Here is a 14,935-nt window from a genome sequence, read left to right on the forward strand (position 1 = left end):
TCTCTCTCTCTTTCTCTCTCTCTTTCTTTCTTTCTGTTGCTCTGTCTCCAGGCTGGAGTGCAGTGGCACAATCTTGGCTCACTGCAACCTCCACCTCCTGGGTTCCAGTGATTCTCCTGCCTCAGCCTCCCGAGTAGCTGGGACTACAGGCGCACACCACCAAGTCCAGCTAGTTTTTGTATTTTTAGTAGAGATGGGGTTTCACCATGTTGGCCAGGATGATCTCGATCTCTTGACCTCGTGATCGGCCTGCCTCAGCCTCCCAAAGTGCTGAGATCACACGTATGAGCCACTGCACCCGGCCACTATCTTATTTTCTGTCTCTGTGAATGTGACTACTCTAAGTACGTCATGTAAGTGGAATCCTACAGTATTTGTCCTCTTATGACAGGATTATTTCACTTAGCATAGTGTCCTCAAGGGTCATCCAGGTCATAGCATGCAACAGGATTTTTTTCCTTCCTGACCCCCCTTTTTTTGACTTGGAGTCTTGCTCTGTCACTCAGACTATAGTGCAGTGGCTATCACAGCCACTCCTGGACTCAAGTGATCCTCCCACCTCAGCCTCCCAAGTAGCTAGGACTACAGGTGTGTGCCACCGTGCTCGGCTAATTTTTTTTTAAGTTTTGGAGAGAGAGGGTGGTCTCAGTGGCTCCCGCCTGTAATCACAGCACTTTGGGAGGCTGAGGCAGTAGGGGGCGGGGGTGGGGATCACTTGAGGGTAGGAGTTCGAGACCAGCCTGGGCAACAGGGTGAAAACCTGTGTCTACTAAAAATATAAAAATTAGCTGGGCATGGTTGTGCGTGCCTGTAATCCCAGCTACTCGGAGGCTGAGGTAGGAGAATCACTTGAACCTGGGAGGCAGAATTTGCAGTGAGCTGACATTGCGCCACTGCACTCCAGTCTGGGCAACAGAGTGAGACTTCCTTTAAAAAAAAAAAGTTTTGGGAGAGATGGGGGTCTTACTGTGTTGCCCAGGCTGGCCTGGAACTCCTGGGCTCAGGCAATCCTCCTGCTTCAGCCTCTGGGATTACAGGCATGGGATTACAGTGCTGGGATTACAGGCATGAGCCACTGTACCTGGCCAGCACTTTATTTTATTGTTATTTATTATTATTACTTTGTTTTTTCATAACATTGATGTTTTGAAGGTTATAGGCGACCTCCTTTGTAGAGTGTCCCTCATTTTGGCTTTGTCTCATGTTTCTTATTATTAGATTTAAGTTATGCATTTTGGCAGGAAAACCAAAGAAATGGTATGTGTCTCCCTCTTTGCTTCAGACCAGAGGCAACTAAGGTCAATTTGTCCTGTTAATGGTGATATTAACTTGTATCATCTGGTTAACGTGATGTTTGCCAATTTTCTCCATTAATTTTTTTTTGTTATAATAAGTAATCTAGGGGAAGCTACTTTGAGACTAAATAAATATCCTGTTCTTTATCAAATCAGATTTTCACCCAATAACTTAATAGTTTCAGTCTCTGTTGACAATCCTTGCTGGAATCTCGTGATCTTTTGTTTTTGTTTTTGTTTTTGTTTTTGAGACTGGGTTTCACTTTGTTGCCCAGGCTGGACTGCAGTGGCACAATCATGGCTCACTGCAACCTCCACCTCCTGGGCTAAACCAATCCTCCTATCTCAGTTTCCCGAGTAGCTTGGACCACAGACATGCATCACCACACCCAGCTGATTTTGTTTATTTTTTGTAGAGACAAAATTTCACTTTGTTGCCCTGGCTGGTCTTGAACTTTTGGGTTTAAGTAATCCTCCCACCTTGGCCTCCCAAAGTGCTGGGATTACAGGCTTGAGCCACCGTACCCAGCTGGAATCTCATGTTTAATATTCCAGACCTGTCACAAACACTAAGAGGTGTAGCCTCTTAGACTGTACAAGGCTAACGGCAGCCAGAGAGCTCTCACTGGAAGTGAATTAATCTCTAGGATGGCCTAGAGGGATGAGGGGACCCACAGAGCTCAATGATTTGGTGAAAAACTGAGGCTGGAGGCTGATGGGAATTTATGCCCCCATCCCACACATATGTAATAAAGACCCACTTTGTGCCAGGCACTGTTTTAGGCCGTGAGGCACAGTAGTGAAAAAACGAGATCAAATCTCAGCCCTTGTTGTGCCGACACTGATGTGGGAGGATTCAAACTACAAACAAGAAAAATACATGGTATGTTTAAGGCCGGGTGCAGTGGCTCACGCCTATAATCCCAGCACTTTGGGAGGCCAAGGCGGGCAGATCACTTGAGGTCAGGAGTTTGAGACCAGCCTGGGCAACATGGTGAAACTCCGTCTCTACTAAAAGTACAAAAATTAGCTGGGCATGGTGGCAGGTTCCTATAATCCCAGCTACTTGGGAGGCTGAGGTGGGAGAATGGCTTGAACCCAGGAGATGGAGGTTGCAGTGACCTGAGATCGTGCCACTGCACTCCAGCCTTGCTGACTGGGGTTTTGCTATGTCGCCCAGGCTGGTTTCGAACTCCTAGGCTCAAGCAGTCCTCCCTCCTCGGCCTCCCAAAGGGCTGGGATTACAGGCGTGGGCCACCGCACCTGGCCTACAGTATGCTTCATAGAAATATGAAAAGAATGAGAGCAAGGTTGAGATAGAAAGTAACAGGGCATCCCTCCTGAGTAAAACAATCCTGCCCCCTCACGCTCTCGTCTACCCTCCCGTGGGTCTCCCTGCTTCTGTCGTCTGCCAGAAACTGGCTGAGCCAAGTGCACTTGCAGACGCCATCTGTTCTCCCTGGGAGTGGGGCCGGTGCCAGCGCCAGCATCTGGACTCTTGGCAAGGAGCCCTGGAGCCCTGGAGCGAGGGAACTCCGGCCCCACAAAGGCCAGGGAATCCTCCAGTCTGGTGAGACGGAGGGCTTCTGGGAAGGGAGGCCTATACAAGGCTCCATGAAGGAGGTGGAAGCTTGCAAGACGATGATAGTCTTGTAATCAGTCCGATGGAGATGGATGTAAATAATAATATTAATAAACACCATCAAATGTGTTCAGAGTGCTTTCTTTGCCAGGCTTTGGATAAATGTTGGATATCTGTTCTTTTTATTTTTTATTTTTCTATTTCCTAGGCAGCACCTAAACCAAAATAGGTTCAGAGAGGCTCCCAATGTTGGACATTTGTTGTTGCAGCAACTCTAAGTACTCTACATATGTTATCACATAAGAGGCAAGGAGCATTATCCCCATTTTGTAGGTGAAGAAATAGGGGTTCAGAGAGGTGAAGGCATTGTCTAGAGGCCACACACTCAGTGACTTAAAGAGCCTGGAAAGGGGCCAGGAATGGTGGCTCACACCTGTAATCCCAGCACTTTGGGAGGCTGAGGCGGGTGGGTCACCTGAGGTCGGGAGTTCAAGACCAGCCTGACTCATATGGAGAAACCCCATCTCTACCAAAAATACAAAATTAGCCAGGTGTGATGGCGCATTCCTGTAATCCTAACTACTCGGGAGGCTGAGGCAGGAGAATCGCTTGAACCTGGGAGGCGGAGGTTGCGGTGAGCCGAGATCACGCCATTGCCCTCCAGCCTGGGCAACAAGAGTGAAACTCCATCTCAAACAAACAAACAAAGAGCCTGGAAAGGAAACCAGGTCTATGTGGGTCCAAATGCTGACTCATGAACATCACTGTACCACGTGACAATCAGAGCATCACCCCCTACTGGACCCCACTCCTCAGCCTTCTTTCCCTAGAAACTCCTAACCCACCTGCCTCTGCTTCCTCCTCACCCATTGGCTTAGCAAGGGCCACAGGAACACAGCCCGGGGTTACAATATGCTGGGCTTGGTACCAGCTGTTTACTGTGGCCAAGTGAGCATGCAAGTGAGCCCGTTTATTTTCTTTTCTTTTTTTTTTTTTTTTTTTTTTTTTGAGACGGAGTCTTGCTGTTTCCCAGGCTGGAGTGCAGTGGCGCGATCTCGGCTCACTGCAAGCTCCGCCTCCCGGGTCCACGCCATTCTCCTGCCTCAGCCTCCCAAGTAGCTGGGACTACAAGCGCCCGCCACCAAGCCCGGCTAATTTTTTGTATTTTTAGTAGAGACAGGGTTTCACCGTGTCAGCCAGGATGGTCTGGATCTCCTGACCTCGTGATCCGCCCGCCTCGGCCTCCCAAAGTGTTGGGATTACAGGCGTGAGCCACTGCGCCCGGCCCGTGAGCCCGTTTCTTTATCTGCAAAACAGGGATTAAAAACAAGCCAACACCCCTTCAGCACTCCTCCGCAAAAAAACACCCCAAAACAAAATAGGCCAGGCGCGGTGACTCACACCTGTAATCCCACCGCTTTGGGAGGCCGAGGCTGCAGTGAACCCAGGAGTCTGAGGCTGAAGCGAGCAATGATTGCGCCACTGCCTTCCAGCCTGGGCGATCAGAGCAAGACCCCGTCTTTTAAAAAATAATAATAAAAAAAAAATCTGCCGGGCGCGGTGGCTCACGCCTGTAATCCTAACACTTTGGGAGGCTGAGGCGGGCAGATCACCTGAGGTCAGGAGTTCAAGACCAACCTGACCAACACAGCGAAATCTCATCTACTAAAAATACAAAAATTAGCTGGGCGTGGTGGCTTGCCCCTGTAATCCCAGCTACTCGGGAGGCTGAGGCAGGAGAATCGCTTGAACCCGGGAAGCGGAGGTTGCGGTGAGCCGAGATCACTCCACTGCACTCTAGCCTGGGCGACAGAGCAAGACTCCGTCTCAAAAACAAAACAAAACAAACAAAAAAACCAAAGTAAAATAGCAGCGACAACAACAACAACAACAAGAAAAACCCGGAGCTGAGAGGAAGAATGAATGCGATGATGAATGTAAAGCGTTTAACACAGGGCTTGGGTACAGTCTGCCCTCAATGAACCAATGATGTACCCCTAGGCAATTTACCTAACCTCGGCTTGCCAGTTTCCTCCCGCGTGAAACAGGACAATAAACGATTATGCCTCTTAGGGTTGTGCTGAGGAATACATGTGTATGTAAGTTTATTTGCAAAGCACTTAGAACAGGGCGCACGGTCCTTGTTGCTGTTATTATTATTGGCTATTATTGCGCAAAGGGGAAGGGAGGCGGGGCCAAGCCAGGAAGGCCCTGGAGAATCCGGGGTGCCCCCTCCTCCGGCAGAGCTTGGGCCTGGGCTCACGAGGAAGGGGCTGCAGTTCTCCAAGGATTCCCGCCTGCTCCCAGACCCCCGGGAGTCGTAGGAACCCGTTCCTGGACGCTGACGTCGGCTTTCAGGGATCCCTCGCCGGACGCCGCGGAGGGACAGAGCCTGGGAAGCCGTCGCCCCGCCCCGTCCCCGCCCCCGCGCGCAGCGGGCCCGGGGCGCTGAGACCCGCGTAGAGCAAAGCGCAAGGTCCCAGCGCCCCTTGGATCCTCGGTGGCAGGGTCCGGGCAAGTGTCATTGCGAGGGTTCAGGAAGCCCCGGCCTGTGATCGTGAGCGGTGAGTGAGGGACGTAGGTGGGTGGGGGTCACAGTCCCTTCCCTGGGTCCTGGAGTTGGGGATGAGAGGGCAAAGCTTTGGCGAGGAAATCGGCTCAGTCAAGGTTTGGAATGAGCAGGCAGGAGGCTTGGGGACCTTCCAGGGGGATCGTAGGACGAGAAGAAGAATATTCTTTCTGGTTGTGTTGCGTGTGTACGTGTATGTGTGTGCTGGGGTTGAGGGTGTTTATGGGGGCGAGGTGTGCAAAGGATTCTGGAGAGCTGGTGCATGTGTGGGAGTTGTGTGGAGTCATAGGTGTGTGGGTGGAGTAGGGCAGGGGTGCCTGGGCCTGATGAGTGGGGCAGGCATGCCAGAGGTCATGAGAATAGGAGAGAGTGCCGGGGTGCATGTGTGCGTGTGTGCACAGGTGTCTGTGGTTTGTGATGCAGTGGGGAGTAGGGTTGTGCACGGAGTCAATTGGGATAAATGTGTAAGAAGGTTGGGGACCTGAAAGGGGTGTTTTCTGGGAGCTGATGTTTTGGGGCAAATATTCAAGGAGTCCTTTGGGAGATGAATGTGTGGAGGTGGAGGCTGGGCTTGCCTAGATGGGGCTGTGTGGCAGGGGACTTCGGGGGGCAGGTCTAGGGGACAGAGGATGGGGAATGTAGACTAGAGTGCAGTTCCAGGCAGCACTGGGGGTAGGGGATGGGTGTGTGTGTGACTGGGAGGGGTGCCTGGGCCTGGATAGGTGGTCACGCGGTATGAACCTGGGATGGATATTGGGGGTGTTTGTGGGGCAGGTAAGTGTGTAAGGCATGGTGCAACAGGTGCTGCAACTTATTGGGGTAAGTGTGATGGGTATGTGGCTTTTGCCTGAGAGAAATGCCCAGAATTTGGCTGGGTGCGGTGGCTCACGCCTGTAATCCCAGCACTTTGGGAGGCCAAGGCTGGTGGATCCCCTAAGGTCAGGAGTTCGGGACCAGCCTGGTTAACACAGTGAAACCCTATCTTTACTAAAAATACAAAAAAAAAAATTAGCCGGGCATGGTGGTGGGCGCCTGTAATCCCAGCTACTCGGGAGGCTGAGGCAGAATGGTTTGAACCCGGGAGGTGGAGGCTGCAGTGTGCTGAGATCATGCCACTGCACTCTAGCGGATCTGCAGTGGTGGATCTGCCTGGGCAACAGATGGAGACTTTGTCTCAAAAAAAAAAAAAAAAAAGAGAGAGAGAGAGAAATGCCCAAAATTGAATGTCCAGACCCCTGAGTTCTCTTCATAACCTGAGGCCAATCTTTTTTTCTCTCTGGGCCTCAGCTTCTGTATCTGTAAAATGGGTCTGAGGACCACTGCACTAACTAGTCTCTGCCTGAGTCTCTCTAAAGCAAGGGGTCAGAGGTTGAGTGAAGTGAGACTTTTACAACTTGTCTTTTTCTTCCCCCTACCCCTAGGAAACCCCTCCTGGAGTTTCCCCAAAGCCATGGACAGCCCTAGTCTTCGTGAGCTTCAACAGCCTCTGCTGGAGGGCACAGAATGTGAGACCCCTGCCCAGAAGCCTGGCAGGCATGAGCTGGGGTCCCCCTTAAGAGAGATAGCCTTTGCCGAGTCCCTGAGGGGTTTGCAGTTCCTGTCACCGCCTCTTCCCTCCGTGAGCGCTGGCCTGGGGGAACCAAGGCCCCCTGATGTTGAGGTAGGAAACAGCAGGCCTTAGTGGAAGGCACGGGAGGGGGCTGGGGTGAGCCCCACTAAGGCCAGCATCTGGCAGGTTGACAGCTGTGCCGATCTGCCTTAGGCCTGGAGTCTCACTTCCCAGCTGTGTGTGGGCTTCTGAGATTTCCAGTTACGGTTCTTCTTGTTTTATGTCTCTCATCTTTGTTGCCTGGCTTTTGGCTCTGTCTTCCCTCTGATCTCAGACTCCGCTGGTTGGTGTCTTCAGAGTGCATGCACCTCTGGCTTTTGTCCACCCTGCTGTCTCCCTCTTTGTGTGTGTGTGTGAGAGAGAGAGAGAGAGAGAGAGAGAGAGACAGGGTCTCGCTCTGTTGCCCAGGCTGGAGTGCAGTGGAGCGATCATAGTTTACTGCAACCTTGACCTCCCGGGCTTAAGCAATCCTCCCACCTCAGCCTCCTGAGTAGCTGGGACCACAGGCATGTGCCACCATGCCTGGCTAATTTTTTGGTGTTTTTTGTAGAGAAGAGGTTTTGTCATGTTGCCCAGGCTGGTCTCAAACTCCTGAGCTCAAGCAATCTGCCTGTCTTGGCCTCCCAAAGTGCTAGGATTAAAGGTGTGAGCCACCATGCCCAGCCTTCCTTTTTTTTTTTTTTTTTTTTTTTTAAGTTACTGTTGTCACTTTTTATAATTTCTCATTCCAGGCCAGGCACAGTGGCTCACACTGGTAATCCCAGCACTTTGAGAAGGCGAGGCAGGAGGACTGCCTCGCCCAGGAGTTCTAGGCTAGCCTGGGCAACTTAGTGAGACTCCATCTTTATTTTTATTTAATTTTTCATTTTGTCCTCCGAAAATTAGAAAGACCCCATCTTAAAAAAAAAAAAAAAAATTAGCCAGGTGTGATGGCGTGTTCCTGTAGTACCAGCTACTTGGGAGGCTGAGGTGGGAGGATCGCTTGAGCCCAGGCTGCAATGAGCTGTGATCATACCACCTTACTCCAGCCTGGACAACAGAGCAAGACAGACAGAAAGAAAGAAAAAGAGAGGGAGAGGGGGGAGAGAGAGAGAGAGAGAAAGAGAGAGGGAGGGAGGGAGGAAGGAAAGAAAGAAAAGAGAGAGAGAAAGAGAGAAAGAAGGAAGGAAGAAAGAAGGAATGAAGGAAACAAGGAAAGGAAGGAGGGAAGGAAGGAAGGAGAAAGCAGAAAGAAAGGAAGGCAGGCAGGCAACAATCATGATGAACTCTTACGGTTTCTGTTGGTCAGGAATTTGGGACTTAGTTGCATGGTTCTGCCTCTGGATCTTTCTTGAGGTTGCATTCAGCTGGTGGGTGGAACTAGAACAGTCAGGGGCTGGCTGGGCACTTTTCTCTCTCTTCATGGTGTCTTAGGGCTTCCTTTTTTTTTTTTTTTTTTTTTTTGAGATGGAGTTTCACCCTTGTTGCCCAGGCTGGAGTACAATGGTGCAATCTCAGCTCACTGCAACCTCCGCCTCCTGGGTTCAAGCAAATTCCCCTGCCTCAGCCTCCTGAGTAGCTGGATTTACAGGCATGTGTCACCATGCCCAGCTAATTTTGTATTTTTAGTAGAGACAGGGTTTCACTATGTTGGTCAGGTTGGTCTCAAACTCCTGACCTCAGGTGATCCACCCACCTCAGCCTCCCAGAGTGCCAGATTACAGGCGTGAGCCACCGTGCCCAGCCGAGTCTTAGGGCTTCTATGTGGTCTCTCCATGTTTGCTGCCTTGGGATTCCTTACAGCATAACGGCTTCAGGGCAGTCAGGCAGCTTATGTACCTCCAGCCTACAGCATGAATATTGCAGCAAAGCAGAAGCTGCCTCACCTTTTCTGATTTCGCTTTGGAAGTCACGTAACATGACTTCCACCACATTCTATTAATTACAAGTGAGTCATGAGCCTGCTCAAATTCAAGGGGAGGGGACACAGAACTCATCCCTTGATGGGAAGGATATCAAAGTCACATGGTAAGAAAAGCATGTGGGGCCGGGCGCTGTGGCTCATGCCTGTAATCCCAGCACTTTGGGAGGCCAAGACAAGTTAATTGCTTGAGGTCAGGAGTTCAAGACCAGCCTGACCAATGTAGGGAAAGCCCGTCTCTACTAAAAATACAAAAATTAGGCCAGGCGCGGTGGCTCACGCCTGTAATCCCAGCACTTTGGGAGGCTGAGACGGGCGGATCACGAGGTCAGGAGTTCGAGACCAGCCTGGCCAACATGGTGAAACCCAGTTTCTACTAAAGAAAAAATACAAAAATTAGCCAGGTGTAGTGGTGCACACCTGTAATCCCAGCTATTCGGGAGGCTGAGGCAGGAGAATCACTTAAACCTGGGAGGCGGAGGTTGCAGTGAGCCGAGATCACGCCATTGCACTCCAGCCTGGGCAACAGAGTGAAACTCTGTCTCAAAAAAAAAAAAAAAAAAAAAAATTAGCTGGCCGTGGTGGTGGGTGCCTGTAATCCCCGCTTTTGGGAGGCTGAGGCAGGAGAATTGCTTGAACTTGGGAGATGGAGGTTGCAGTGAGCTGAGATTGAGCCACTGCCCTCCAGCCTGGGCAAGACTCTGTCTCAAAAAAAAAAAAAAAAAAAAAAAAAGCTTAAAAATCTAAACTCTAGAGTTTTCAGCAGGCAGGTTTGCCCTAATCATTTAGGCCACTGGAGCATTTTATAATCTCCATCTTTTATTTATTTATTTATTAGTGACAGGGTCTTCTTGCTCCGTTGCTCAGGCTGGGGGGCAGACATGTGATCATAGCTCACTGGAGTCTCAAACTGCTGGGCTCAAGCCATCCTCCTGCCTCAGCCTCCCAAAGTAGCTGAGACTACAGGCACAAGACACCATGCCTAGCTAATTTTTTTTTTTTTTTTTTTTGAGATGGAGTCTCACTCTGTCGCCCAGGCTGGAGGGCAGTAGCGCAATCTCGGCTCACTGCAAGCTCTGCCTCCCGGGTTCATGCCATTCTTCTGCCTCAGCCTCCAGAGTAGCTGGGACTACAGGTGTGTGCCACCACACCCGGCTAATTTTGTTTTTGTATTTTTAGTAGAGACGAGGTTTCACTGTGTTAGCCAGGACGGTCTCGATCTCCTGACCTCATGATCCGCCTGCCTTGGCCTCCCAAAGTGCTGGGCTTACAGGCGTGAGCCACTGAGCCTGGCCCATGCCTAGCTAATTTTAAATTTTTTTTTGTAGAGATGGGGTCTTGCTGTATTGCCCAGGCTGGTCTCAAACTCCTGGCTTCAAATGATCCTCCCGCCTTGGCCTCCCTAAGTGTTGGGATGACAGGTGTGAGCCACTGTGCCCGGCCAATAATCTCCATCTTTTTGCAGGTTCCTTGTTTCAGTGGTGTTTGTCCCTGCTCAGGGGCTTTTCTTTTTTTGAGATGGAGTCTCACTCTATTGCCCAGGCTGGAGTGCTGTGGCTCGATCTCAGCTCACTGCAACCTCCACATCCTGGGTTCAAGTGATTCTCCTGCCTCAACCTCCTAAGTAGCTGGGATTACAGGGGCATACCACCACGCCTGGCTAATTTTTGTATTTTTAGTGGAGATGAGGTTTCACCATGTTGGCCAGGCTGGTCTCCCAACTCTCGACCTCAGGTGATCCACCCACCTCGGTCTCCCAAAGTGCTGGGATTACAGGTGCAAGCTACCACGCCCGGCCATGCGGGGGCTTTTCACTCAGAGATTGTAAGCAATTGTAGCGTCCATGATTGGATCCGTCAACCCCTTGAAAATGAACTGAAAACTCTGGGTGTGGGTGGGGCTCTTCTCTGGAGACCTGATCCACAACTTCCCTTCAAAGGGCTCCAGGATACAAATGTCAAAAGCCCATCTCTGGCCAGGTGTGGTGGCTCATGCCTGTAATCCTGGCACTTTGGGAGGCCAAGACGGGTGGATCACCTGAGGTCAGGAGTTCAAGACCATCCTGGCCAACATGGTGAAACCCCATCTCTACTAAAAATACAAAATTAGCCAGGTGTGATGGCGTGTGCCTGTAATCCCAGCTACTCGGGAAGCTGAGGCAGGAGAATCATTTGAACCCGGGAGGCAGTGAGCCGAGACTGTGCCATTGTACCCCAGCCTGGGTGACAGAGCAAAACTCCGTCTCAAACAAACACCGAAAGCCCATCTCTGAACACTTTTTTCTCTTTGTATCTCTGGGGAAGCCCTAGGGGCAGGTATTGGCCTTTGAGGGCTATGGAGAGCAGAGCAATGGGGCAGGAAAGGTGGATGGAGATGCCCACCTGGGCACTTTCCTGTCCGTAGGACATGTCATCCAGTGACAGTGACTCGGACTGGGATGGAGGCAGCCGTCTTTCACCATTTCTACCCCACGACCACCTCGGCTTGGCTGTCTTCTCCATGCTGTGTTGTTTCTGGCCCGTTGGCATCGCTGCCTTCTGTCTAGCCCAGAAGGTCAGTCTGTGTGTGGGACTTGGAGGGGACTGGGCATAAAAGAGAAAAATGCACCACAAAAACAAAGAGCCATATACCTGAGGCGGGAAGGTGGAAGGTAGCCCAGAGAACCTGAACTCAAATCCTGAGTCTGCCACTCTCTGCAAGATTTTTTTTGAGTCTCACTTTGTCGCCCAGGCTGGAGTGCAGTGGTACAATCTCGGCTCACTGCAATCTCTGCCTCTTGGGTTCAAGTGATTCTCCTGCCCCAGCCTCCTGAGTAGCTGGGATTAGAGGCGCGCGCTACCATGCCTGGCTAATTTTTGAATTTTTAATAAAGACGGGGTTTCACCACGTTGGCCACGCTGGTCTCGAACTCCTGACCTCAAGTGATCCTCCCATCTTGGCCTCCCAAAGTGCTGGGATTACAGGCGTGAGCCACGGTGCCCAGCTCTCTGCAAGATTTTGGGCAAGTCACTTAACTTCCCTGTGCCTCACTTTCCTCATCTGTAAAGTGGGAATAATTGCTACCTCTGGGTCAATGTGAGAATCAAATGAGTTAGAATAGTGGCATATACCATTTTAATGTTTTTATTTATTTTTTAAAATTTATTATTATTATTATTTTTTACCATTTTAATGTTTTTATTAACCACTCAGCATCCCCAGTGCCTGACCTATAGTAGGTGCTACGTATCTGCTTTTGGAATACATGCATGAATGAATGAATGGGTATGTTGGGTGGGGGAGGGACCAGGGGAAGGGTCTGGGACTGAGGGGATGCCTGGGTCACTGCTGCCCACTGCCTCTACAGACCAACAAGGCTTGGGCCAAGGGGGACATCCAGGGGGCAGGGGCCGCCTCCCGCCGTGCCTTCCTGCTGGGGGTCCTCGCCGTCGGGCTGGGCGTGTGCACGTATGCGGCTGCCCTGGTGACCCTGGCTGCCTACCTTGCCTCCCGAGACCCGCCCTAGTTGCCCCTACAGCCCTCACTGTGAACCCTGAGGCCGGCAGCCCAGCAAATCTGTGGGCAGAGAGTGGAGAATCTTGGTGGATGAGGCTGCGGCGGCGGCAGGAGCATCTAGAAACGGGAGCGAGCTGGACTGGAACCCTTCCCCTTCCTGGCCACCGCTCTTCGGGCGGCAGCAACCTGAGATTAAACACCAGACACCCTTGCAGCCAAACCAGAGTCTGTTCGCGTGTGTGGGAGGATGGAAGGGGGTGGGGGTGCTTGAGACCAACAGGGGACTGACTGGTCAGGGTGACGGGCTGTGGTGGGCATCCCCAGGGTGCTTGCTCCCTGAGACCTGAGCTGGAAAAGGGGGAAGAGGATTTTCGGGTTTTTTTTGTTTTTTGAGAGATGGTCTCCCTGTTGCCCATGCTGGAGTGCTGTGGCACAATCATGGCTCACTGCAGCCTTGAACTCCTGGGCTCAAGCAATCATCCTGATTGAGCCCAGGAGCCTCCCAAGTAGCCGGGACTACGGGCACCTGCCACCACACCCAGCTAATTAAAAAAATTTTTTTGTAAAGACAAGGTATCACTATATTGCCCAGGCTGGTCTGAAACTCCTGGGCTCAACTGATCTTCCCGCCTCGGTCTCCCAAAGAGCTGAGATTACAGGCATGAGCGACCATGCCTGGTGGTTTCTAAACAGCAGGATGTTCTCATCCCAATATGGGTGGTTAGCAGAGAACTGGAGAGAGCTGAGTTTCAAGTCCTTACTCCTCTACCTGTTAGCTGTGTAAGCTTGGCCCAAGTGACTTCTCACTTTTTCTCCTCTGCAAAATGGGACTTTCTGCACACCTCAGGCTGTAGTGAGGATTAAATGCATCATATGTGGAAATGACTGTCTGCTGTTGCTGTCTCCCTCTGAGCTTTTTTTTCTTTTCTTTTCTTTTTTTTGAGATAGGATCTCCCTCTGTCAACCCAGACTGGAGTGCAGTGGCCCGATCTTGGTTCACTGCAGCCTCGACCTTCCAGGCTCAAGTGATCCTCCCACCTCAGCCTCCCAAGGAGCTGGGACCACAGGCGTGTGCCACAATGCCTGGCTAATTTTTTGTATTTTTTTTTTTTTTTTTGAGATGGAGTCTCGCTCTGTTGCCAGGCTGGAGTGCAATGGTGCAATCTCAACTCACTGCAGCCTCTGCCTTCCAGGTTCAAGAGATTCTCCTGCCTCAGCCTCCTGAGTAGCTGGGATTTCAGGTGCGCAGCACTGCGCCTGGCTGATTTTTGTATTTTTAGTAGAGACAGGTTTTCACCATGTTGGTCAGGTTGGTCTCGAACTCCTGACGTCAGGTGATCCACCCACCTCAGCCTCCCAAAGTGCTGGGATTACAGGCGTGAGCCACCAAGCCTGGTCTTTATTGCTTGATAATGTCTAGCCCCTCTTAGTGTGCTTAGTGAGCACTTCCTATGTGCCTCTGCTAAGTGCTTGTGACAGATGTGTTTTCCCTGTCCAGGTGCCAACACCTCCATGTTTCCTTAAGGATGCATCCCTTTCCCTATTGCAGGCCATTTGGTTTGGATGGGACTGCCTCCAACTGCAGGTAGGGTTTTGCCCCATCTCTACTAAAAATACAAAAATTAGGCTGGGCACAGTGGCTCAAGTCTGTAATTCCAGCACTTTGGGTGGCCAAGGCAGGCGAATCACCTGAGGTCAGGATTTCCAGACCAGCCTGGCCAACATGGTGAAACCGCATCTCTACTAAAAATACAACAATTAGGCCAGGTGCGGTGGCTCACGCCTGTAATCCCAGCACTTTGGGAGGCAGAGGTGGGCGGATCACCTGAGGTCAGGAGTTAAGAGACCAGCCTGACCAACATGGAGAAATCCCGTCTCTACTAAAAATACAAAAATTAGCTGGGTGTGGTGGCATGTGCCTGTAGTCCCAGCTACTCAGGAGGCTGAGGCAGGAGAATCATTGGAACCCAGGAGGCGGAGGTTGCATCACCCCATTGCACTCCAGCCTGGGCAACAGAGCGAGATTCCGTCTCAAAACAAAAGAAAACAAAACAAAACAAAACAAAACAAGACAGGGACTATAACAACAGCCCCATCTCACAGGGTTGGTGGGTGGGTATTTAGAGTTTCCTCCCCATGGCCTACAAGGCCCCACCTGCATGCTTGCCCGTTTCCCCCAGCCCCATCTGCTCTCCTGCTCTAGCTCGCTGGCTTTGGCCACCCTGTTCACCAAGCTGGTCCCCAGCCCCTGGGGGCTCCTTCCCCACATTATCCAAGAGCTCACTCCCTTTCCTCTTTCAGGGTCCCCTCTGAGGTACCCTGCTCTGTGAAGGCACTGATGCCTGATGTACTCAATTTGCCCTCCATAAAGGGACTCTCCCAAACTCCTGTTCCCTGCTTTTTACTTTTTCATAGATTTACTACCATCTGACAAATTCCAGTTTACCTCCCTGCTCCTCTGGGATCTCACTAGCAGGGCCTGCAC

The 14,935-nt window shown here is 51.2% G+C and overlaps 1 protein-coding gene across 8 annotated transcripts in view, besides 3 other annotated features; it reads left to right on the top strand.

Annotated features, from left to right (window-relative positions):
• TMEM91 (transmembrane protein 91) overlaps positions 1–12,670 on the top strand; it is a 20,137-nt gene extending 7,467 nt beyond the window's left edge. Inside the window, exons 1-5 of one of the 8 annotated variants that reach the window (NM_001369862.1) lie at positions 5,120–5,441; positions 6,868–7,106; positions 11,359–11,508; positions 12,148–12,219; positions 12,461–12,670. In NM_001369862.1, coding sequence (NP_001356791.1) covers positions 6,897–7,106; positions 11,359–11,508; positions 12,148–12,207 — 420 coding nt within the window. In that variant the 5' untranslated portion in view covers positions 5,120–5,441; positions 6,868–6,896 and the 3' untranslated portion in view covers positions 12,208–12,219; positions 12,461–12,670. Of the gene's footprint in view, positions 1–5,119; positions 5,442–5,850; positions 5,911–6,867; positions 7,107–11,358; positions 11,509–12,147 lie in introns of those variants that run through there. The other 7 variants (NM_001369864.1, NM_001098821.2, NM_001098822.2 and 4 more) reach the window with 7 other exon arrangements.
• Positions 5,236–5,365: a silencer, noted in NCBI's record as "silent region_10665". NCBI's record gives its function as "represses an Ori minimal core promoter by ATAC-STARR-seq in GM12878 lymphoblastoid cells {active_cell/tissue: GM12878}" and the evidence as "EXISTENCE:reporter gene assay evidence [ECO:0000049][PMID:35858748]".
• Positions 8,440–8,613: a silencer, noted in NCBI's record as "fragment chr19:41885758-41885931 (GRCh37/hg19 assembly coordinates)". NCBI's record gives its function as "represses an EF-1alpha promoter that drives an FKBP-Casp9 reporter gene in an ReSE screen in K562 erythroleukemia cells {active_cell/tissue: K562}" and the evidence as "EXISTENCE:reporter gene assay evidence [ECO:0000049][PMID:32094911]".
• Positions 12,517–13,016: an enhancer, noted in NCBI's record as "H3K4me1 hESC enhancer chr19:41889835-41890334 (GRCh37/hg19 assembly coordinates)". NCBI's record gives its function as "activates a minimal SCP1, AML or CMV promoter by ChIP-STARR-seq in primed H9 embryonic stem cells {active_cell/tissue: H9 hESC(primed)}" and the evidence as "EXISTENCE:reporter gene assay evidence [ECO:0000049][PMID:30033119]".

The sequence above is a fragment of the Homo sapiens genome, chromosome 19 (assembly GCF_000001405.40).
Source record: "Homo sapiens chromosome 19, GRCh38.p14 Primary Assembly".
Classification (NCBI taxonomy): Eukaryota; Metazoa; Chordata; class Mammalia; order Primates; family Hominidae; genus Homo; species Homo sapiens.